The sequence below is a fragment of the Homo sapiens genome, chromosome 9 (assembly GCF_000001405.40).
Source record: "Homo sapiens chromosome 9, GRCh38.p14 Primary Assembly".
NCBI classification, from domain to species: domain Eukaryota; kingdom Metazoa; phylum Chordata; class Mammalia; order Primates; family Hominidae; genus Homo; species Homo sapiens.
Window position 1 is genome coordinate 84,663,345 of NC_000009.12, and position 24,238 is coordinate 84,687,582.

At 41.6% G+C, this 24,238-nt stretch overlaps 1 protein-coding gene across 36 annotated transcripts in view, besides 1 other annotated feature; it reads left to right on the forward strand.

Annotated features, from left to right (window-relative positions):
- Window positions 4,910-5,129: a silencer, noted in NCBI's record as "silent region_19985". NCBI's record gives its function as "represses an Ori minimal core promoter by ATAC-STARR-seq in GM12878 lymphoblastoid cells {active_cell/tissue: GM12878}" and the evidence as "EXISTENCE:reporter gene assay evidence [ECO:0000049][PMID:35858748]".
- Window positions 5,178-24,238, forward strand: part of NTRK2 (neurotrophic receptor tyrosine kinase 2) — a 358,533-nt gene continuing 339,472 nt past the window's right edge. For 6 of the 36 annotated variants that reach the window (XM_047423432.1, XM_017014752.2, XM_017014755.1 and 3 more), the window contains exons 1-4: window positions 5,178-5,441; window positions 5,958-6,079; window positions 6,336-6,544; window positions 7,033-7,616. In XM_047423432.1, coding sequence (XP_047279388.1) covers window positions 7,405-7,616 — 212 coding nt within the window. In that variant the 5' untranslated portion in view covers window positions 5,178-5,441; window positions 5,958-6,079; window positions 6,336-6,544; window positions 7,033-7,404. Of the gene's footprint in view, window positions 5,442-5,957; window positions 6,080-6,335; window positions 6,878-7,004; window positions 7,617-8,746; window positions 8,828-24,238 lie in introns of those variants that run through there. The other 30 variants (XM_017014751.3, XM_017014753.3, XM_017014760.3 and 27 more) reach the window with 15 other exon arrangements.

The window sequence follows — 24,238 nt, forward strand, 5'->3', positions numbered from 1 at the left end:
GACTTTTTCAAAGTGTAAAAGAAATTACAGAGTAGGTACTTCTAAAACTAGAACATTACAGAATCTGAGTTTATTTAAAAATCTCCAAACTTTATAATAGCATTCTAAAATTGGAGGTTCTAAAGGAACTCCAGCAGAACAAGAAGTTGATGATTGGAGGATCTAGGTCAGCATTTCTCTTTTGTTTTTAGAAACAACTTTATGGAGGTATAATTGCTAATAAGCTAAACATTTAATAAGTTGATCAGATCGAAACCATCACCACAATCCATCCATCATCATAAAGTTTCCTTGTGTCCTTTGTCATTGCTCCCTCTGGCTCCTCCCTGCCTACTTCTCTCTTTCCTCGCCAGCAGTCACTGAGTTATTTTCTGTCACAATCTATTTGTTTGCACTTTTTTTTTGCATTTTTGTTGCATTTTCTTGAGTTTTATGATCCCATACAGTATGTACTCCTTTTTATCTGATGTTTTCACTTAGCATAATTATTTTGAGATTCATGCATATGACTGCAAGCTTTGTTCATTTCTTTTCATTGCTGAGTAGCATTCTGTTGTATGGGTATGCCACAATCTGTGTATTCATTCGCCTGTCAATGAATATTTGGATTATTACAGTTTTTACATATAAAGATAAAGCTGCTATGAACACTCACGTTCAAGTCTTTGTATGGACATATGCTTTCCTTTCTTTTAGGTAAGTATATAGAAGTAGAATGGTTGGATCACCTGGTAAGTATACGTTTAACTTTTGAAGAAACTTCTGCATTTCCAAAGTGGCCATACAATTTTACACTCCCAGTAGCAGTGTATGAGAGTTCCAGTTGCTCCACATTCTGGTCAACACTTGGTATGGTCAGTTTTTAAAAATTGTAGCCATTCCATGGGTGGATCACGAGGTCAGCAGATTGAGACCATCCTGGCTAACACGGTGAAACCCGGTCTTTACTAAAAATACAAAAAATTAGCCCGGGTGCGGTGGCGGATGCCTGTAGTCCCAGCTACGTGGGAGGCTGAGGCAGGAGAATGGTGTGAACCCAGGAGGCGGAGCTTGCAGTGAGCCGAGATTGCCCCACTGCACTCGGGCCTGGGCAAAAGAGTGAGACTCCATCTCAAAAATAAATTAAATAAATAAATAAATAAATAAATTTTTAGCCATTCCAATTAGTGTGTAGCTATCTCATTGTGGTTTTAATTTGCATTTCCTCAATGACTAATGCTGTTGAGCATCTTTTCATGTGCTTACATGCCAACTGCATATTTTCTTTGGTAAAGTATATGTTCAACACATTTACACACTTTTAAAATGTTGTTTATTATTATTCAGTTTTGAGAGTTCTTTATATACTCTGATATGACTTTATCAAATGTTCAGATATTTCTTACATTTTGTGGCATTTTTTTTCATTCTATTAGTGGTATCTGTTGAAAAGCAGAAATTGTTAATCTTTATAAAATCCAATGTATCTATGTTTTTCTATTTATGGGCTGTGCTTTAATTCTAAGTATTTTGTATTTTTGATTGGCTATTGTAATTTGTAGTTTTTAAAAAATTAATTCATGATTGTTGCTAGTATATAGAAATATATCTGATTTGTAAATAGTTATCTTGTATTATGCAAACTTGATAATTCATTTATTAGTATAAGTAGCTTTTTCATAGATTCTATTAAATTTTCTATACAGGACTCAACGTTGTATGTTTTAAAAAAGAACAGTCTAATTCTTCTTTTCCAATCTGAATACCTTTTATTTCTCTTTTTTTGACTTATTGAACTAACTAAAATCTTCAATGCAATATTGAGTAGAAATGGTGAAAGTGGATTTCCTTGTCTTTTAACTGCTTTTTGGAAAAACATCCCCTACCCCCACTACACTTTCTAGACTCTGGTAACCCTCATTCTCCCTCTGCCTCCATGAGGTCAACCCTCTGCCCCCATGAGATCAACTTGGATTCATGAGACAAACTCCACTTACTCATGATGTTTTTGGATGTGCGATGTATTGTTGAAATCAATTTACTGAAATTTTGCTTAGAATGTTAGCACTGACATTAATAGGAACTGTTGTTTTCTTTTCTTGTAATGTTTTTGTATATCAGTATCAAGGTAATGCTGGCCTCATAAAATGAATTGGAAAGTATTTCTTCCTCTTCATTTTTCTAGAAGAGTGTGTATGAAATTGGTATTCTTTTTCCTTCATTGTTTTGTAGAATTCACCAATGAAGCCATCTGGGAGTGGAGTTTTCTTTGTGGAAAGTTTTAAACCAGACATTCAAGTTTTACAATAGATATAGGATTATTTAGGTAATCTGTTTCTTCTATAGTGAGTTTCATTGGCTTTTTATCTCTCATAGAATATGTTCATTACATTTAAGTTGTTAAATTTATTTGCATAAAGTTGTTCACAATATATCCATAGTATTTAATATCTATGAAATATTCAGTGTTTTAATTGCTCTCATTACTGTTATTGGTCCTTTGTGTTTTCTCTTTTTTATTTCTGATCAGTTGGACTAGCTGTTTTTATTGATCTTCACAAAGAACCAGCTCTTGATTTAATTAATTTTCTCTATTGGTTTTATGTTTTCTATTTCATTATTTTCCACTCTGCTCTGTATTATTTCTTCTCTTCTGCTTACCTCGTGTTTAATTTGTTCTTTTTTTCCCTCTGATTTCTTAAGGTGGAAGCTGAGGTCATTGGTTAGAGATCTTTCTTCTTTCCTGATACAGGAATTTAGTGCTATAAAATTCCCTCTAAAAACTGCTTTAGTTGTATCACACAAATTCTGATACATAGTGTTTTACATTTTCCTTTTGATTTGTTTTAACTCTATTCGCTTTAATCTTTTGCGTGCTTCTTTCTCTGGCCTCAGGTAGCTTTATTACCTGCATGTGTCAATCAGCACTATGCTGAATACTTGAGAGGAACCCTCTGCAGATGTCCATAGTTCTTTCTGGGCAATACTCTTCTCTTTGCTACTCTGTCTTGTGAACTCTGCACTCCTTGATTTCTCTTGAGCTAGTCTCCTCAACTTAGGTAGATGGCCTCTGCCTGGGTTCCTTCTCTCTGAACGATGACCTTCATTGTCTTATATCCATTGTCTTAACTTTAATATATTTTGTTCAGTGTTTTGGTCATATGATTGAGAGAACAAATCCGTTCCCTATTACTCCATTTTAATCAGAAGTTGGCAGTATTCTTGCTTATTTTTTTACAACTCAGTATTGGATGTTAAAATCAATGTATTGAGTTATTACATGCATTCAGAAATGAAATGGTGTAGAAGAGAAAAGGATATATTAGTTTATGTACTAAGGGTAAGTAAGTTTTGTATTATGACACTTCTTTTTTAGTTAGTATATGCCTTTATGTATGTGTTCATTGGGTTGTGATATAAAAGGCATTTCTTATTGTGGATCATGGTCAAAAGAGTTTGAGAAACATTGCTCTAGGTACATCATGGTTCAGTGCAGGTAGGAACCTGCAGCACTTAATTTCTATGCCTGCATTCAAGGGATCTAGAAAAAAGTCATCTCTATATTGTTCATCTGAAAAATGTTCATCATCTCTTACAAAGGTGTGATCTGAGAATCCTTGAAGTGATCTCTGGGACATATCTTATAGGTCTTAAAATCGAGGTAGATCCACAATTCTATCAGTTAAGAAATAGCTACTGATCACCAGTGTGTTCTAGACACTGTCCATGGAGGTGTTCAGTTACTAGCATGAATAAGTGGGAGGCCCTCTCTGGCCCAGTACTGAAGCCTATCTGGCTACTAAATGAGACAGAAAGTAAGGCAAGGTTTTAAGCAGTGCTAGGAGCACTCAGAACGCAAGGAAGATTTGAAATTGTGAAGGTGAGAAGGAGCGTGTCTGGGGGAATTATCCAGGTTCTTGCAGACTTAGAGGTTAAGAAAGTGAGATCTCCTTTATTTTATTTTATTTATTCATTAAAAATACACATATATTTTAACACCTACTATGTCCTTGAGAGATATCAATGAATAAAATAGATAAAAATCCCTGCCTTCATGGAGTGTACATTCTTCTGGGAGAAATTTTAAAAATATATATAATAAGTAAATTATCTGTCCAAAGGACAAACTGCTATGGTTGAAATAGTAGAGCAGAAGTAGGGTGATTAGAAGTAGGACCGCAAATCCTAATTTTAAGTGGGAGATAGTGGAATATATTTAGAATCCAACTATAATAGTAGCATATATTTACTCTAATAGAAACTCTACAAATATTCCAACATAATTAGACTCTTCTGGTGTACAAACCACCGTAAGACTGCCTATTCTCCATACCGCATTGACATGCTGCAGCCACTAGGGCGAAAATGGGCCGTTTCTTAGAAAAATGGGCTCAGAGTATGGGAGTGTGAGAGAAATGTGGGTGATTACGCACACACTCCTTCCTTCCCCAAGTGTTCCTCAGGGGCTTCTCCGCTTAAGGTTCACTGACAAGACAGGCGGAGTTTTACGTGCGTCTGAGACCAGGTCATTTTTGCCCTTGGCGTCTCTTCCTTGGCGCGTCCTCACCTAGTAGAGAATAGAGGCGCAGCTCAGGAGTAAACTTCAGCCTGGCCGTTCACCACTCGATGTGTGTTACAGCCGAGTGACAGTGGTGAGATAGACCTGCTGGCCTTGCTTTCGGGACCTGCAGCAAGATTTTTGGGTGCTGTCCAAGAATTCCCGCGGTTACACTCAGCGCCCAGGATCTGTACAAAAAAGCCCCAATAGATGTTTTACGTTCCCTTCGTAATATTTAACGCTTGGCCTAGATCCGAGCATTCACTCTAACGTTCGGTTTCTTGATCCTTCCCATCCCCAAACTCTGCGGGTAGATCAGTGACTATTACTATATTTTGAACGAGACTCCAACCCATTGCTCTCTCGAGAGAGAAGGATTGCCCGCCTTTTTCCCCCGGGCAGGAGCTCGGCGAGGCCAGGAGAGCCGCGCACCGGCCGGGCAGGGACGCGCAGGCGTCGGGCGCCGCTGGTTGCGCATCTGGCGCCAGAGCGCGCCCCCAGCGCTGTGCCCGCCGCGACCCGGGCCATGGGCTGGTGCTCCGGAGCGTGCCGGGCGCTCTCTCCCCGCGCGGGGGCACCAGAGCCCTCGGAAGTGTCAGGCACTGCGGTGTATTTTCCCCGTTCTCTTTTAAATGACTGCGGAAAAACAGATTCCGAGCCGCAAAAGGGAAGACGGATTCTCAGACAAGGCTTGCAAATGCCCCGCAGCCATCATTTAACTGCACCCGCAGAATAGTTACGGTTTGTCACCCGACCCTCCCGGATCGCCTAATTTGTCCCTAGTGAGACCCCGAGGCTCTGCCCGCGCCTGGCTTCTTCGTAGCTGGATGCATATCGTGCTCCGGGCAGCGCGGGCGCAGGGCACGCGTTCGCGCACACCCTAGCACACATGAACACGCGCAAGGTACGGCAGGGGAGCAAGGGCTTGGGATGCCCTACGTGGGGGTGGGCATCGCGGGGAGTGAATCCACGATCTGGGAATGGCTACATCCCGTCAGGTTAAAGGATGAGAGAAAATGACGCGGCGCCACACATCGGACAGGCCAGGGTGGCCACCGAGCATTTAGAATACGCATCAGGCGCGCTCCCTTCCCCTCACATGTCTCTATTTCCCGGGCGTGTGATGGCAGAAAACGGCAGGAAAAAGACCCACTTAGAGAGCTAGAATTGTGTTTGGAGACTCCCTTCCCTCTGCAAAAGCACCAACAGGAAGCCCCTCCAAAACCACCGATCCCCAAATAGGTGGCCCGGAATGGGGGCGGTGATCCTTGGTTACCAATGCAGAACACGTTTTGGTGTTTACAACATTTATTTATTTTTAGGATAGCTTGCCCTCCCTTTTAGGCAGGGTGGGAAAGGAGAACGCGGGGAGGGAGAAGGGAGGGAGGATTCCTATAATAAGAATCAGCGCATTTTTCAGAGCTGAACCAAGCACGGTTTCCATTTCAAAAAGGGAGACAGCCTCTACCGCGATTGTAGAAGAGACTGTGGTGTGAATTAGGGACCGGGAGGCGTCGAACGGAGGAACGGTTCATCTTAGAGGTACCTGGATGTAAATGCACACACACACACAGACACACACACGCACGCGCGTGCATGTCTACACGGCCAGGATGTGTGCGTGTGTGCGCGCGTGTGTGAACTCCCACATGCTGCTGCTGTCTGCTTCTGGCCAGTGGCACCGATGCCTCCCTCCTCCCTGCTCGCCCCCAGATTCCCCTCCCCTCCCTGGTGCTTTTGTCTGGAGGGTGTTATGGGTTTGTGTGTGTATGAGCGTGTGTGTGTTTTTGGATTTCAGACTAATTTTCTGGAGTTTCTGCCCCTGCTCTGCGTCAGCCCTCACGTCACTTCGCCAGCAGTAGCAGAGGCGGCGGCGGCGGCTCCCGGAATTGGGTTGGAGCAGGAGCCTCGCTGGCTGCTTCGCTCGCGCTCTACGCGCTCAGTCCCCGGCGGTAGCAGGAGCCTGGACCCAGGCGCCGCCGGCGGGCGTGAGGCGCCGGAGCCCGGGTGAGCAGCGCAGATAGTGCCCTCGGTCGCCTCGGCCCTCACTGTCTCCCCCTGGGGCGGCCTCGGCTACTCCCCAGGTGGGACGTGCCGCGCCACCTGCCCGCGCCACCGGCACCCAGCGGCCGTGGCGGATTCTGCAGCATCATTCGGGGGCCCCGTCGCGGAGCCAAAGCCGCCGGCAGTCTCCGCATTCCCCTTTAAAGGGTCCTTCGCCCGGCCTGTACCATGGAATCCTGTCTTGGGGACCCTTTCCCTACCTCCCCTCCCTTGGCCTCAGGCTCGAAGAGAGAGTGGGCACACTGGTGGCTCCAGCGGCGTCAGTGCCATCGCGGGGCAAGTTGATTCCTGGGCCGGAGCTGGGCACTCATCCATCCACAGTCTCCGGGCTGGGGTCGGGGTGGGGATGACGCGAGCAGAGAGGGAGAGTGCCCCAATTAGTGGTGTTGGGGGTCCTACGCTCAGTCTTACGCGTGTCTGTTTGTCCTCAGCCTCGAGGTGCATACCGGACCCCCATTCGCATCTAACAAGGAATCTGCGCCCCAGAGAGTCCCGGGAGCGCCGCCGGTCGGTGCCCGGCGCGCCGGGCCATGCAGCGACGGCCGCCGCGGAGCTCCGAGCAGCGGTAGCGCCCCCCTGTAAAGCGGTTCGCTATGCCGGGGCCACTGTGAACCCTGCCGCCTGCCGGAACACTCTTCGCTCCGGACCAGCTCAGCCTCTGATAAGCTGGACTCGGCACGCCCGCAACAAGCACCGAGGAGTTAAGAGAGCCGCAAGCGCAGGGAAGGCCTCCCCGCACGGGTGGGGGAAAGCGGCCGGTGCAGCGCGGGGACAGGCACTCGGGCTGGCACTGGCTGCTAGGGATGTCGTCCTGGATAAGGTGGCATGGACCCGCCATGGCGCGGCTCTGGGGCTTCTGCTGGCTGGTTGTGGGCTTCTGGAGGGCCGCTTTCGCCTGTCCCACGTCCTGCAAATGCAGTGCCTCTCGGATCTGGTGCAGCGACCCTTCTCCTGGCATCGTGGCATTTCCGAGATTGGAGCCTAACAGTGTAGATCCTGAGAACATCACCGAAATGTGAGTTCCTGGAGCTTTTCCTCCTTTTTCTCCTTGCCCCTAGGGCCCGAGCTGGCCAGGTGGGTAGGTCCTGGAAGTGAATGCTGTCCCAAGAGTGGGGAGAAGTCAAAGACAAGGGATGCAGGACAGGGTCATCTGTCAGTTACCTGCTGTTTCACTGGCTTGGGACTGCTAGTGCAGGGAGAAGTGTGACACTTTAGAATAAGTTTCAAATATAGATATACATATGCCGATTATATATTTATTCCTCGTGGGAAGGAACTCACTATGCTTTTTATATTTCAAAGCTCTGCTGGGTGTGCTTTAGGCTTTCAGTATGCACTAACTTAGTTTTGGGCATTTTTGTTTCATAAAGTGCTGTGTGTATGTTGTGTTAGAAGTTCCATTAATATTCACTAGAAAAGAGGTTAAAATAATTAACTTTCCCAAATCTGTTGAGGGAAGTGACAGTCTCTCCCTTAACATCTTTTTTGAGATTTAAGTTAACCAATTTCCCTTTTCATTTTATATATCGGATTTTGCTTAGGAGATGGCATCCAGAGATGGCCTTGAAAATGATCTGTAAGAGGAGAAGTTCTGAGTGTTGAAATGCACTCGCTCAAAAGAAAAAAATATGATAGTTGGAAGCCTAAAAGCCTGGTCTAATTTAATTTGGACTTGACTTCCCAGAGATATGATTTTGAGACCACTTGGATTATAACTCTTAATTGCCCATTGAATAATTTCCCAGGACTAGGTTGGATGATAAAGCACTGGGTAGAACTCTGATGAAGGCTGGCTTTAGCATTGGACCTCTGTGTCCCTGGAAATGTTTGAGCTTGTTGTGGCTTGAAGAAACAGAACTGTGTATTTCTATTCTCCTTTTCTGATGCTTTGTGACAAATGCATCACCAAGCAAGAACTTGCCAGTCCTTTCTCTAGCATTCCTGTGTCACCTCTACTGGACTGTTATTGTTATCATTTTTTTCCTGAAGGATGCTGTCATTCCATACATCTCATTAACATGAGATTTTATTCGTATACGTGGAAGATTGTAAGGCAAAGTTTCTCCCAGTTTTCCTTATTGTGTTTGATACTGAGATAGGCAGCCCTAAAGTGGGGCTTGGGCTGTGGCCTTCCGGTTGTCGAGTGCGCATGCATTTTTCCTTCCACAGAAAACATACAACCATGTTTCTGCCAACGTAGTTGACCAAGATAACCTGTTTTTTAATGTAAGTAAGAGACCTTCCTAGTCTCTGTTGCCTGTTCTGCTGCTGATGCTTATGGTGTAAGCCTCAGGCAAAAGGAAATGACAGCAGAGCAGAGGGGAATGTTCAGGCCTAGCATAGCTGAGATGTGTCGGGAGCAGCCAACTGTCGGGCTGAGTCCAGGGTGCTAGGATCTCTATCTTTTTGGCAAGGAGAGCAGGAGCCAAGAGCGGAGAGCAAGGGTGGATAGGGCCCCAACTGTGGTGGTCTTGGACTGGGCTGGTTGAGGCTTACCAGGCTGGTCCAAAGTCTGTGGCCTTTTGTCAGAATCTTTTTCATGAGATGGGGTGTCAGTAGTTAGATGGAGAAGGCCATATGGAATTCAGAGTGCTTCTGACTGTTTTGAGATTATGGGGAGTGCCTTCCACAGTCAGATATTGTTGTGTGTGTGTGGTGGTGCTTTTAAAATTCTGTTTTAGGTGATAGATGCATATAATGAAGAAAGAAAGAAGATAGGGCTGATCATTTTCACTTTGTTTTTCTGTTTGATAATTTTAAGGCCATGATCTGAGAAAAAGGAAATAAAACTATCTTTAAATCTAAAAAATTATTATTTCAGACCTTCCTGATCTTAGCTGCCTGATGTATATGAAATCAATTGATTTCAGCAGAGCTTTCTTATATCTGTCCTCACAATTGTTGTTGCTTCTTTTATATCTGATGGCAGGTTCCTATTTTCAGCTTTTTTAAAGTAGATTTTAAAAATATTTACAAAAGCATGTGTCATAGTTATTCATTCAATCGTGGCACTTCTAATTTCTACTCTAACTTTTTTCCCTTTTGATTTGAAAACCTCTTGGGGTTGTGGGATTGGAGAGGTATATAGGGCTAAGTGTTGAGAACAGGGAATTAGGTTAGTAATATTAGTCTGGCTGGGTAGATGTGAGTCCTGAGACAAAGTATGTTTCTCTGCTCTATCTCAGCTTTGTGTGAGCCCAGCCAGTTTGTGCCCCAGTGCCTTTGTCTGTAACTCGTATGACAATACTTCTTTGGAAAGTACTCCATATAATTATTTTGAATTCTGCTTTTTTGACCTAAAAATGACATCAGTGGATGCGCTTGTTTCACTCGCATCCTTATATGACACCATCTATGTTCTTTTTCTTACATATTAATATTTGCTTGCACAGCTTTTAAATTCTTGTCCAGTGGATACCAGCTACAGTTGGAACCAAATTATACATATTTTAAAACTTTGTTGTTAGGCCCAGTGGTATTCCTAAAATAACCTGTTGTAAAGTTCTGGTTTAGTGGTATGTAGCTGAAGTTACGTGCGTCTATTTTTTAAAAATAGAAATAATGTGGTGAATAAACTGTGATTAGCAACACACAACTTGCTGAAACAACGGTTTACCATATCATTCAAAAATGGTGTATCTTTTAGCATCTATATATTAAACCATCATGCCCTTAGGGTTCTAAGAACACAAATAGTGGGACATTAAAAAAAATGTGTAGATTAACCAAGAGGTAGGATCTTTTTGTTTTGTTTTGTTTTTACATGCATGCTTTCAGCTAAGCTGACATTTTGTCTTCAGAGTCATTGAACCTATTTTATTAAAAATCTTCCCATCACAGTACCTGTTTTATATTTTTTGCCCACTAATGTGACATAACTAGATCAATATCTATCTATAGGTATGTATCACGCCTGCTCAACATCACACTGCTAAGTGGCAGCTCCTGTTATTTGGAAATGGTTATACCACAGCAGTGTTAAAATGAATTTAAACGCAGTACCAATGTCACATGCAATGGAATTCAAGAGTGAAGCCTGTTGTTGGAATTATGTAACTGGCCGTTTAAATCCCAGTTGTATTAAGTGCCAAAGTGCATTGCAAAGGACAAGTTCTGTTTCACCCAAGTGGTAAAAGGCACAGTCAAAAGAAGTCGTGCATTTTTTTAGCTGTGGTAAAAAAAAAATACATAACCTAAAATGTACCATCTTACAGTTCAGTAGTGTTCTGTGTATCCATGTTGCTGTGGAAGGGCATGCATTTTTATGTTGCACGTGCTTTATGAAGACTAATAGGGATCTTTTTTTTGAATTTCTCCAGTGGTATTCTCTGATTTGGGGGTAATATTTGAGAACAGCCTTATATTTTTCCTCTTAGCACAACCTAAATAGAATTTGGAGCTTCTCCTATGACAGACTCTATGTGCAATTTATTGTTGGCCTGGTTAAGCAGCTGTAATGTTGTGTCATTAATACATTGATTTTGGCCCTCTTACTTTAATAAGCTTTGCCATTGCAATTAATTGTACTTAAAAAAAAATCCTGGCATTCACAAAGATTCAGTGAAAGGCATCAATTTTTATTACTCTGATGTTTACTTCTCAGCCCCTCCATTGGGGGTTTTAGAACTTTGGACTGTGTCTTATATGCATTTAAGAGCCATGTATTTAAATTTGGAGCACGGTTACATAAGCCACACTAGACTTGTTAATGAATAAGGCAGTCTAATTTACATCATTCATTATTTAATACAACTTGCAAGCTGGAGTTGAGAACATGCTGTCTTCATAGTGTAGGTATTTACAGACATCAGCTTGGCACAACTGTGTGGAGTCTTTTTAGTTTCATACCTTCAATCTCTGCAATATGGACACTTTTGTTACCCTGGGTAAAACAGTGGAAAAGCCTTGTGACCCTTTTGACCCTACTTTCTTCCACCTCCCCTTCCATCACCCATTATTTATACAGGAAAATGGGTTTGATTTTTTTCTTCTCTGAAAAGTGATATTTCCTTATGGGAATTCAGAATGCTGGAGTTAAGAGAAGAGCCTGGGCTGTATGTTATTACAAGCAAGTATTGGGAAGTTGAAGCAATGTGGTCCCAGTTCCCTAGTGTGGAGTTTAGGTCTGTTTAAGGTCTCTCACTGTTTCTATCCCATAAACCTCTGTTTGTGTCTGCTTCAATATTCCCTTATAAAGGTGTTTTCTAAGCTGAAGAGTTGGCTGAACAGCTGAGAGTTGAGGTCTCTTTCTCCCTAGTAATATTCTGTATGATCTCTTTGACTATATCTAGGTCATAGGAGTATAAAAACTAGTGTTTTTGTTTAGCTGGGGAAGGGGAATTGAATTTCTTTTCTCTTCTCCTTTCTTTCTTTCTTTCCTTTTTTTTTTTTTTTTTTTTTTTTTTTGCCTTGAGTGTTAAGCAAGTGCATCCAGTTTTAACTCATTGGTCATCTTGCCTGCTAGGGAAAAAAACATTATCAAACCATTATTGAATACCATAAACTGGCCTTATCCCTCTGGCTAACTTTACCACTTCTCTAGAGAGTTTCTTGTAGGTTCAAAAGCTATAGCGTAGGATGTGACATGAAAGACCTGCCCCTTGGAACAATGCCAATTTTTAGTTGCTTCTGATGCCTGTAATCAATAGGAGGATTTGGGGGAGAGACTATTGAAGCATGGCAAAGTTTTTACTTGTTTGATGTGTGTTTGTGAGAGAGAGAGAGAAAGATAGAGGGAAGAAAAAAAACCCTGAATCTTGGATTATTTATGGTTGATCAATCATTTTTATAGTCTACTTGGTTGAGCTATTTTAAAACAAATCCCACCTCAAGCCTCAAATGGCAAAGATCTGAGCTCCACTGTGGCCTGATAATTTTAGCTCACATTTGATTGCTGATCAATCTCCATTAGAAAAGTAAAGGTCCCATATAACTGGGTGCCTTCTCACCACTTACTTTGCTCTCTGGGGTGTCCAAAGGACTGGGAAGTTATAAATATTGATCTGGGAGATGGATGAGTGAATGTGCTCAAAGTTACAAAAATCTTGCAAAGAAAAGCAATGTGTAGATACTAAGTTTATTCCTTATGTGTTTCAAAAAATAAAAATAAAAAAGCATATCATGGAAAGCTGAAGTCAGGAGACCTGGAACTTCATCCCAATGTCACCACTACCCAGTCACTACCCAGTTACCTGATCTTGAAGCAGCCTTTTAATGTTTCTGGGCCTCAGCTTGTCACATGTAAACTGAGGGCTTTGGATTTGATGCTCAGACAAGTTTCTCAAGGCTCTGAAGTTCCCTGAAGCCTCGGTCACGGAGATAAGGAAGTGTATACATCAGCTGTGAAGGAAGGGCATGATACAAGGTGCTCGGGGTCTGGCAGTGTGTGAATCTGAAGACCTTTGGTGTCAGAGTGTTATGTGGAAATGTTTTCAGTGTCTGCTCTGAACTCCCTCAAACCATGTCTTTTTAAATGTGAGCTGCTAACAAGGCTAGTGGCATGTTAGTACTGGTCTGATGAGTCCAAGGTCACAGGGTCAGTGTTCAGATGGGTCACTTAGAATCGGAACCTCAGAAAGAGAAAGGGCTTTAGAAATGATCTGCTTCAGCCTCTTCTTTGCAAAAATCAAGGGCAGTGAAGAAAGTTGCCGAAGGCCGACTCATTAACAGCATTGTGGGAACTAGAAGCTCCTTCTCCTAGCATCCAAATGAATGCTGGGGGCCTTTGCTTTAGGGTGCCTCCCCTCCGTTCTGTGTTCTCAAACAGACCGCCTAATTCTGGCTCATCATTTTATTAGGTTGGTGCGAAAGTAACTGTGGTTTTTGCCATTACTTTTGCACCAACCTAATAGAACCACCATAAATGGGGAGACAAGTTTAACATGGCTAAGTCTGTGCAAACTCATCTCTGTGAGAGACCAAGTAATTGAAAAGTGCATGAGCTACTGATCTGAAAGCAATCATCTTATCTTCATATAGGAAGAAATATATTTTCTGTTTAGCTTACTGTGTGTGAGTGTGTGTGTGTGTGTGTGTGTTAAATTTGAAGTGTTCCTCTTCTTTAGGCAATTCATACACAAAAAATTTGAGCTTCAGAGAAAAGCCTTCATGAGTTGGCAGCAATGAGGTATGCTAACCTTGGGCCTGCTGGGCCATCTTTGCAGATTGGCATTAGAAGAGGGGCAGAGCAGACAGAGTGAAATGAAACCTGTTGCCCCTGGAGTCTTTGCCACAGTCGGGGGTGCTTATGTAAGTGGAGAAACCCGCAGCCCTTTCGATGAGGTCTGTGTTAGCTGCCCTGAAAGACCTGTGGCCAGAGAGTACTTATTATTCCCCGACTTCTTTCTTCCCCCTGACTTCTCAATGCCTCAAGATTGATGACTAGTCTCAGTGGCTGAGCCAGTGAGCAAACTTCAGGATTATTGGCTCCCATCCAAAATTCATCCAGCTACCATTTTATGTGTTGTTCGTGTTCTGCTCTGAGACCTTTCCAGGAAAAGCACCCTTCTGAGACATATTTTTGGTTGCATGAAGATTTGCTCCCATGGGACGTGAAGGGCCCTTTACAGACATCTGCTTATTTAGGTTTACAGCCTCACTCTGAAGAAGGTGGGGAGGTTTTGGCAGCCTCTGAGGGGCTGTGAGGTTTATTAGTTTGCCTGGGCCCCTTGGTAAAGCAGAGCATAATTTAGGGGTAGGATCCTATCTAATGTCTCATTTAGGGCTCTGTCTACTCCAACCTTGGTGCCCAAATTTGACCTCGAGAGCCAAGGCAATTCTAGGAGAGGTCTAGAGATTTGAATTCATGTTCACAGATTAAACTTCATGCAGTGGGAAGGAGGTGGGCTGGTGCTTCATCCTCTGTCTTCCCCACCCCTATCCTCTTCTCCTGTTCAGCTCCTGAGCAGTCTGATATATATTGTGAAGAGATAAATGATTTGGTTGCCTTTGGTAATATGGCATCTTCTTGTACAAAATAAAACTGTTAATAATCACACACCATTTAGAGTTCCTTTTTTTATGTCAAATAAGGACAAATTGCTACTTAGCATCCCATCCTTTCCTGTAATCTTCATATCCCAAGAATTGTCTACACACACACACATAGACACACACCATAATGTTGTATGTGTGTACCGTGTTTTCATCAATACATAAATCTGTGTATAAAACTCTGCCATGTGTAATTTGTTCAACTTAATTATCTTGAGTTGTAAAATTTTCTGAATAATTGAGAATGTGCTTCCCTAAACCACTATTTTAATTTTGTTTTTATCATTCTGGATGTCCCTTGGCCAGGATCTGGTTGGGCTGTCTTCTTTGAGAGAAGTACTTGAGCATTAGTGCATTGACCCTGTTAGCCGACCTGGTCACTCAGAGACCCACTGTGTCTATCTTCTGATTCTTTGATATCTTCTCAACATAAACGAACAATGTAAACAAAATTGAAAGGTATCGGAATTTTGGTTTCAACCTCTGCAATATAGTGCAATTTAAAAAGAAAGGATCTTCTCAACGCTAATCTTTGTAACAAGAGTTGTTTCTACTTCATGTACCCCAGAGTCCCTTGCTGTGAGGTGGCAGAGGGGCCTATGCCTGAATTGTCTGACTCTTGCTCACTGTGTGGCAAGTGACCTCTCTTTTCTGGGCTTGGCTTATTCCTCTGTGTGATGCATGTGTAGGGGTGGAGGGTGCTGGGCAAGAGAGCTTGACATCATAGCCCCTAGATTCCCTGGTAAGGTGTGACAAAAAAACACACAACTATGGTGAAACAAAACAAAACAAAACAAGTGTCTTTCTCCAAAGAACAAAACAAAACCCCAAACCAGAACACTCTTTTTAGTTTACTCCCAATTTTACTTCAAAACCCTGCTGCTACCACCCAAACTCAAAGAATGTTATAGATGATATTGCTCCTTGGTTATTTCTTGTGTGCGTCTGGTGCTATGGCTTGAATGTTTGTATTCTGCCAAAATTCATGTGTTGAAACTCAGTCACCAGGGTAGTGGTGTTGAGAGGTGGGAGTTGATTAGGACATAAAGGCAAAATGGGATTGGTGCCCTTATAAAAGAGACTCCAGAGAGCTTGTTTGTCCTTCCTGCCATGTGAGGACACACATAGAAGGTGCCATTTATGAGGAATGGGCCCTCACCAGATATGAAACCTCCCAGAACCTTGATCTTAGACTTCTCAGCCTCTAAAACTGTGAGCAATACATTTCTGTTGTTATAAATTACCCAGTCTAAGATATTTTATTTTAGCAGCCCACATGGACTAAGGTACATGGGTTTGGCCTTTCTCTTTGCAACTCTTCAGCCTCTTTCTGTTTCTGGTGGTGTTTCTTATCCCCTTCTCCTCTGTTCCCAAATCACAGACATATATATACAAACAATCATTTGGCTGTAAACCCCCTTTAATGGATTGTAAAGAAATCTTGACTTGTGTACTTTTTTCTGGTGGACGACCTGTGGGCAGACCATCATTGTTTCAACTGAACCTGGCTTGGTAAGGTTAACACAGTGGGAAAGGCGACAAAGTATAGGAACGTGGTATAACTGAAAGGAGCGCTGGTTAGGGATCTAGGATTTTGGATACCCACTCTCTGACAGTATCAGGGTCTGGGATTTTGGTTGAGCCACTTGACCTCACCAGCCTGACTGATTTCATCTTGAACCTGGAGGCTGTGACACTCATGCATGCTACTCCTTGAAAGACTCTGTGGTTCTGAATCAGTCAGCCATGAGCACTAGTGTTTCCTTTTCTGTTCAAGAATTCACCATTGCCTTCACTCCAGGGGCAAACAAGAGCCTGCTTCAGTTCTTTTGGTGGCTAAACAGCAGAAACCTGACCAGTAGGTTTTCTTTAAGTCCAGCTCTGCCGTTGAGGCTGGATGGTTTTGCAGGTCACCAGCTTCCTGCCATCCTGGGTGACAGCCCTTCCATGGTTTCCCACCAATAGAAACAAATTTTTATTTTTTTCCCTGGGAGTAGTGTTCAAGACTTTTTCAGCCCATTCCTGGCCCACTTCTGTGGATGAGGCTCTGGCAAGTTTTCTAACTGACCTCTTTGGTTAGTCTCTGTTTTCTGTGACCCCCAAGAGCAGAAGCTTTCATGGACATCAAATCTTATTTTTCTGCTCATCAAGTTGTCTTTTCATCTTGGTGGAATAGTTTGTCACATTTCCTGATTGTCATGTGGGTGGGCTGCCATCATGCAAAAAGTAGTTCAGTGTCACTAGTGTTATTGAGGACATGGAGATGTCCAACAAACAGGGTACTCTGCAGAGGCAAGGAGCCCCTGAGCAGCTTATATCTAGCAAGAGACAGATGCATACACATCTAAACACTCCCAATAGTGGGAAGCATTGATGTGTAGATGGGATGTGAGTAATTCCCAATCCTTACTTCCTATGGTAGCAGTAATCCAGCTGAGTTTCATTATTTTCTCTCTGTCAAATAATTTTTGATATTCCTGGGGCCACCTCCACTCATACTGCATTAGAGTAAGCTGCAACTTGCATCTGCAACCAGTTACGATGGAAGGGCTGGAGCGCCTTTCAGCTGAAGCTAATCACTCAACCTCGAGCTTTTTTCTATCAGCAATTTTCCCTCTCTCACATACCTGTATTTTCTGTTTCTTTCTATTGTTCCACATTTTAAGATAAGAATTGAAGCAGGTTCATGTTCCTCCCATCTTAGAAAAGTTTTTCTTTAGTGTGATTCCCTCCCTCTCCTTCTGCTCCTGACTAAAGTACCTCTCCCTTCAAAGCCAGATCTTGGAAGAGTGATCTGTATTCATTATGTCTATTTTCCTATCTCTTATACCAGTCCCATTCCACTGTTTTTCAAACTCACTTCACCATAGTCCCCAGAAGCCTTCATGGGCCATATTGCTCTGTCCTTATCTTACTTGACTTCTTAGCAGAACTTGGCTTCATTTCTCACTCCCTCCTTCTTGAAACATCCTTTTCCTTTGGCCTTGGTGTCACCACACTTTTCTTGTTTTCCCTCTATCTCTCTGCATGCTACTTGTTTGCTTTATTTGTCGGTTCCCTTTTCTCTGCTCTTAAAAACAGACCTTAAAAGTTTATGTCCCTTGGGATTCTGTCCTATGGCTGCTTCACTTCCTGGGCTATCTCTGGGCTACATCACCCTCATCCATTACTTATGTTACCTTCTTTGTGCTAATGATGTCCTAATCTGTTTCCCCATCAATTATCAGTGAAGACCTTTGGACTCATGTGTGCAATACCCCTCTCAGATACAGGAGAGTGTGTCACACTTCTTATTTCTAAACAAAATTTTTCATTGTTGCCCCAAACCCATTGCCAGTGTTCCCTATTGTAATGAATGGCACCATTATCCACTCAGTAATACAAGCCACAAACCGTGACTCTTCCTTCTCTGTAACCCCTACACTCATTCACATATTACGTCTTGTCAATCCATTTTCCTAAGTATTTCCTAAATCTAATTTTTAATATTTCCACTGACATTATTCAATCATTCTTTCAACAAATATTGATTGGGGTCTTCTCTATGTTGGGAACTAGCTAGGTACATGGGATATGGTGAGAAAAACTGCCCTGGTCTCTTCTTACCGGGCTTGCAGTGTGTGGGAGTGGGGGATGGGGAACAAACATCTAATAAGTACTTAACATAAAAACAATATAATTCATGCCATCATCATCTTTTGCCTAAAATGCTGCAATCGCTTCCTATTTCGCATCCCCGCCTCCAGTCTTGTCCCCTCTCTGCCCATACGCCACACTGTAGCTGGAGCGGTCTATCTGAAATGCTGATCTTATCCTGTCACTGCTTATAATTACCCTCTGGCTCCCAGTGTCTCTTAAAATAATGCCTAAAGTTGTTTATTTTTGTTTCAGTTTTTAAAGAATAGAACAAAATTGTCACTATATTGCTATATAAAGAGGCATATAACTATTACATGGACCAGAATGCACAGATCAGCATAACAGTCTTTTTCTACACCAGCAGCTCTATAAAAAAGAACAAATTATAACTGGAAGCTTGCTTGGTGATCTTGGAATTAGAGCAAGGGCATTTAATTTTGCATTTAAAATGTTAAATGGCATTAAGCTAAGCTTGCCTGAGGCATCCATCTCCATAATGGGAGAGCCTTCACAAAGGGAATGTAGAACTTGAAGTACTTTGGCCCAGACTTGTATCCCCTGGATGGACACTCCTTTTCCTCTCCTTCATTCACTGCCCAACACCAATGCTGATTGATGTATTCTTTCTTTGGAAAGGTTAGTGCCTTTAACCAATGCTTCTCATGTCTGGGAGCCTTTCAAATTCCTTAAAGTGATTTTGCACATCTTCTCTCTGAAATGCATTAACTTTATTGTATGGAATTTAGCTGGTAATTATATTTTTTAAAGTAATATTTGAAAGTGATCAGAAATGCAAGCAGCGCAAAGGAGTGTACCATGAATACACTTTGTAACTCTTGTTACAAAGAGTGTACCTTCACTCTGAAGAAGTTGGGGAGGTTTTGGCAGCCTCTGAGGGGCTGTCAGGTTTATTAGTTTGCCTGGGCCCTTTGGTAAAGCAGAGCATAGTTAGGGATAGGATCCTATCTAATGTCTCTCTTAGGGCTCTGTCTACTCCAATCTTGTTGCCCAAATTCGACCTCGAGAGCCCAGGCAATTCCCTCCCACCATGTACTCCCACCCTCTAAAATCCCTCAGCTCCCCTCTCCAATAACAACCACTGATTTTATTTTGTGTCGGTCCCCTTTCAGAAATCTTTGTCTTACATATATAGCACATATATAGGTCTTTTTAGTTTGTACACAAATGAGGGCATGCTATACCCCCTCTTCTACATCTTGGTCGTTTTTCACTTGACGATGTATCTTAAAAATGTTTCTGGATAAACATATGTAACCAACCTTATTTTCTTCCCAGCTGCACAGAAATCCACTGGATGAATAGACTCTATTTAACCAACTTCTTACTGGACAACTCCAGTGTACAAGTTCTTGTGTGTACCTTCTACTTGTGTCCTCACATGGCAGAAGGCACAAATAAGCTCTCTCTGGCCTCTCTTATAAAGGGCATTAATCTCATCCCACCCTAATGATGTAATCACCTCCAGAAGGCCCCACCTCCTAACATCACATGCATAATTTTATCTATAGGAAATGTTCCTAGAATTTGAATTGCAGGAAAATTGCAAGATATTTGTGATTTGTGTGTGTGTGTGTGTTTTCTTGTTGCTTATTTTACTTTAAGTTCCGGGATACATGTGCAGAATGTACAGGTTTGTTACATAGGTATACATGTGTCATGGTGGTTTGCTGCACCTATCAACCTGTCATCTAGGCTTTAAGCCCCACATGCATTGGGTATTTGTCCTAATGATCTCCCTCCCCTTGCCCCCCAACCCCTGACAGGCCCTGGTGTGTGATGTTCCCCTCCTGTGTCCATGTGTTCTCACTGTTTAACTCTCACTTATGAGTGAGAACATACAGTGTTTGGTTTTCTGTTCCTGTGTTAGTTTGCTGAGAATGATGGCTTCCAGCTTCATCCATGTCCCTATAAAAGACATGATCTCATTCTTTTTTGTGGCTGCATAGTATTTCATGGCATATATGTGCCACATTTTCTTTATCCAGTCTATCATTGATGGGCATTTTGGTTGGTTCCAAGTCTTTGCTATTGTAAATAGTGCCGCAATAAATATATGTGTGCATGTGTCTTTATAGTAGAATGATTAATAATCTTTGGGTATATACCCTTTAATGGGATTGCTGGGTCAAATGGTATTTCTGAGACTAGATCCTTGAGGAATCACCATGCTCTCTTCCACAATGGTTGAACTAATTTACACTCGCACCCACAGTGTAAAAGCGTTCCTATTTCTCCACAGCCTTGCCAGCATCTATTGCTTCCTGACTTTTTAAGAATCGCCATTCTGACTGGCATGATAGTATCTCATTGTGGTTTTGATTTGCATTTCTCTAATGCAATGATGAGTGAGGATGATGATGAGCTTTGGTTCATCTGTTTGTTGGCCACATAAACGTCTTGTTTTGAGAAATATCTATTCATATCCTTTGCCCACTTTTTTTATGGGTTTTTTTTTCTTGTAAATTTGTTTAAGTTCCTTGTAGATTCTGGATATTAGACCTTTGTCAGATGTGTAGATTGCAAAAATTTTCTCCCATTCTGTAGGTTGCCTGTTCACTCTGATGATAGTTTCTTTTGCTGTGTAGAAGCTCTTTAGTTTAAGTAGATCCCATTTGTCAAGTTTGGCTTTCGTTGCAATTGCTTTTGATGTCTTAGTCATGGATTCTTTGCCCATGCATATACCTGAATGGCATTGCCTAGGTTTTCTTCTAGGGTTTTTATGGTTTTGGGTTTTACATTTAGGCCTTTAATCCATCTAGAGTTAATTTTTCTATAAGATGTAAGGAAGGAGTCCAGTTTCAATTTTCTGCATATGGCTAGCCAGTTTTCCCAGTACCATTTATTAAACAGGGAATCCTTTCCCCATTGCTTGTTTTTGTCAGGTTTGTGAAAGATCAGATGGTTGTAGATGTGTGATGTTATTTCTGAGGCTCAGTAATATTTGTGATTTTTAAGTAAATATTGCCAAGTTGTTTTGCAAAGAGGTCACATCATTTTGTTCTCCCACAGAAACTGGGAGTGTCTGCTTTCCTACAATTAAGGCAGTACTATTTGTCGTTGAACTTTTGTTATCAAACCTTTTGTCCTTTGTCAACCAGTTTCCTGAGAAATAGTACCTCAATTGCTGTATTTTGCGATTATGTAATTATGATTCAGATTGAAAGTCTTTTCGTATGTTTGTAAGTCATTGGTATTTTTTTTCCGTGAACTTAGCCCTTTTCTTTTTTAATTGAATTGATGGCCTTTTCAAAAAATAATAAAATTTGTACTTCACCTAATGTTTTGCTTGTCTTCTAATGTCAGTTAAGGATTATGATATTTCTTTTCTTCTCCTCCTTCTCTTCCTCCTATTTTGTGAAGCAGAATTAAGTTTTTTTCTAGTAAAGCTTATTTTTTTTTTCTATGTTGTAGGTGTGGCTAAGAAGATTATTCCCTTTTCTAAGAGTATAAAATGAGCAATTTTATATTTTCTTCTACTACTTTTACTATTATATGTTTTTACTTTTAAAGCTTTTGTCTATCTAAATTTTAAAAATATATGGAATGATGTAACAATTGTTTTATTATTTTTTTTTTCAGTATAGCCAATCAGTTTCTGGATCTTATTAGTTATGTAATGCTATCTTTCCCTCGCTAATTTAAAATAGCAATTTGGTTCTGTGGCAGGACTACCTTTGTGTTTGGGCCTGTTTAGGGATCTAGCCTATTCCATTAATCAGTCTGTCTATTTACATGCCAGCATTAAATTTTATCTCCCACAGCTTCTTCTTTTTTTTTTTTTCTACTTGAAGTATTAGTGTCTTACTCATCAGTCTTCTTTCAGAATTTTCAGGATGATTCTAGCGTGATGATTATTCCACATGAATTTTAGGAACTGCTTGCCTAGCTCCCCTGCTTGATAGTGGTGTTTTTAACAAAGATGGCATTACACTTATATAGCAAAGGCTGACAACTTCTTATCAAGTCTTGAAAGCCCCGTGTCCTCAAATTCAAAGCCATTTCTCAGCCTCATTTCATGCCTCTACCTTTGTTTGATGCCATGATACAGCCACTCTGAGTTTTCAATTTATCTACTGAGCTATATTCTCACTTATCTTCCAGGTTGTCCTCTCTGCCTTCTACCCTGGCTAACTCCTGCTTATCTTTTAGGCCTTGGCTGTGATGTTGCTTCCTCTGCCTCTACACCTGGTCTATGTCCCCTCCACTACATGCTCTTATAGCCCCCTGTGTTTCACATCGCAGCGTAGGTCACTTAGTATCATCAGTGTGTGCCTGTGCACCTGTCTGTACACACCGTTAGGACATAAACTGCATGAAGGCAGGGACATATGGATCTTGTTTACTGCTCTTTCCTAGCATCTAGCACAATATCCTAGTTCTCTGTGTTACACAAATACACACGGATATGCACTCATGAGCACCTTCTCCCCACCCCCATATATATACACATAAATCTATCATCTAGAACTCTAAATAAGAGTATTAGTTGGTCTCTGGGTCATCAATATGTAAATCTCTAGACATAATTTTTCTCAAGCTATCAAGTTAAGATGTTTGTTTATATAAATGACCTTTATGGAATTAAAGTGCACAGTGTTAGTTCATGCACAGCAAGAGATTGATTAATTGTGGAAAGGAAAAAAGGCAAAGCCTTGATGAGGCAGGCTGATTACATATCCAACAGGAAGGAGGGACAGCAAAGAGAGGGGAGGATGAGGGCGTTCTGCAGATGAAGAGAGATGCAGAGCACACAAGCTCAGCAACAGAGGAAAATCCAGGGGAAAAGAATCACTCCAGGGTCACCTGATCTCCAACAAACAAATAGGTCTAATGAGAAAGATTTGTGCCTTTTCTGTTAGGTAATAGCTAATAATGGATATCCTTGTGGATCAATTGCAGTTTTCCCTGCGACTGCATTTATGGGGCTTCACTTAAAAGGCAATTCTGGTGTGAGATTTCGGATGTGATTTATCCTTCTTGGAGTACGGATGATAGAGGCTGTTCATTTTTCTCAAAGAATTGCAAACATCAGGAGTATAAAAAGATAATGTGTCAGGTCTAGTTTAATGTACCATCTGATACATATACTTTTGCACTTTTGCAGTAAAAATGCATTGGGCTGATCCTATGAATGTTTCATGGGGCTTCCTTTATATTTATAAAAATTAACGCTATTAGACATTTGAGAAGTTTTGATAGGTGCTTGCAAAACTCATCAAAAAACCCAACTGATAGACATATGAGATTAGAAGGCTTTTTAAAATAGAGTGAAGTCTATAGGTTAATAAATTGTGTTGAATAATCAAAAAGATAATTCTTTCTTAAGATAAATAATATAAATCATATCTATTGATGTTTTATTTATTTATGCTTATATAATCAGTATATTCATAATACGTATACAAATGAAAGTGGTTTAGACTCCATGTGTATTTGAAAATTAAATTTTAAAAAATGAATGGGAATTATGTATTTGACGGGTTTTTTTCCTTTTTTTGTGGAGACAGGGTTTCGCCCTGTTGCTCAGGCCGGTCTTGAACTCCTGGGCTCAAGTGATTCACCTGCCTTTGGCCTCCCAAAATGCTGGGATTACAGGTGTAAGTCACTGTGCCTGGTTTTGGAATGGGAATTATGGAACCAACATAAAATGTTTAACTCTGATGAGAAAAGTCTTATTTTTGGAATTGAGTCATTGGCTCTCACGATAAGCCTAGGTGACCCTCTAGGATTTAACTTCTTGGCTGTCTCATTTGTCTCATTTGCACAAATCTTTCTCATTAGACCTATTTTTGTTTGTTGGAGATCAGGTAACCCTGGAGTGATTATTTTCCCCTGGATTTTCCTCTATTGCGGAGGAATTGCTTTCCCACCAATAAAAAGTGTCTTCTGGAGCTTAAATTCCTGGTGTCTTGAGGGTACTATAGAGCCTCTTACTTACCCAGTCTACACTAGAATCCATGTGGTCATTACCATCCTTTGATTGCA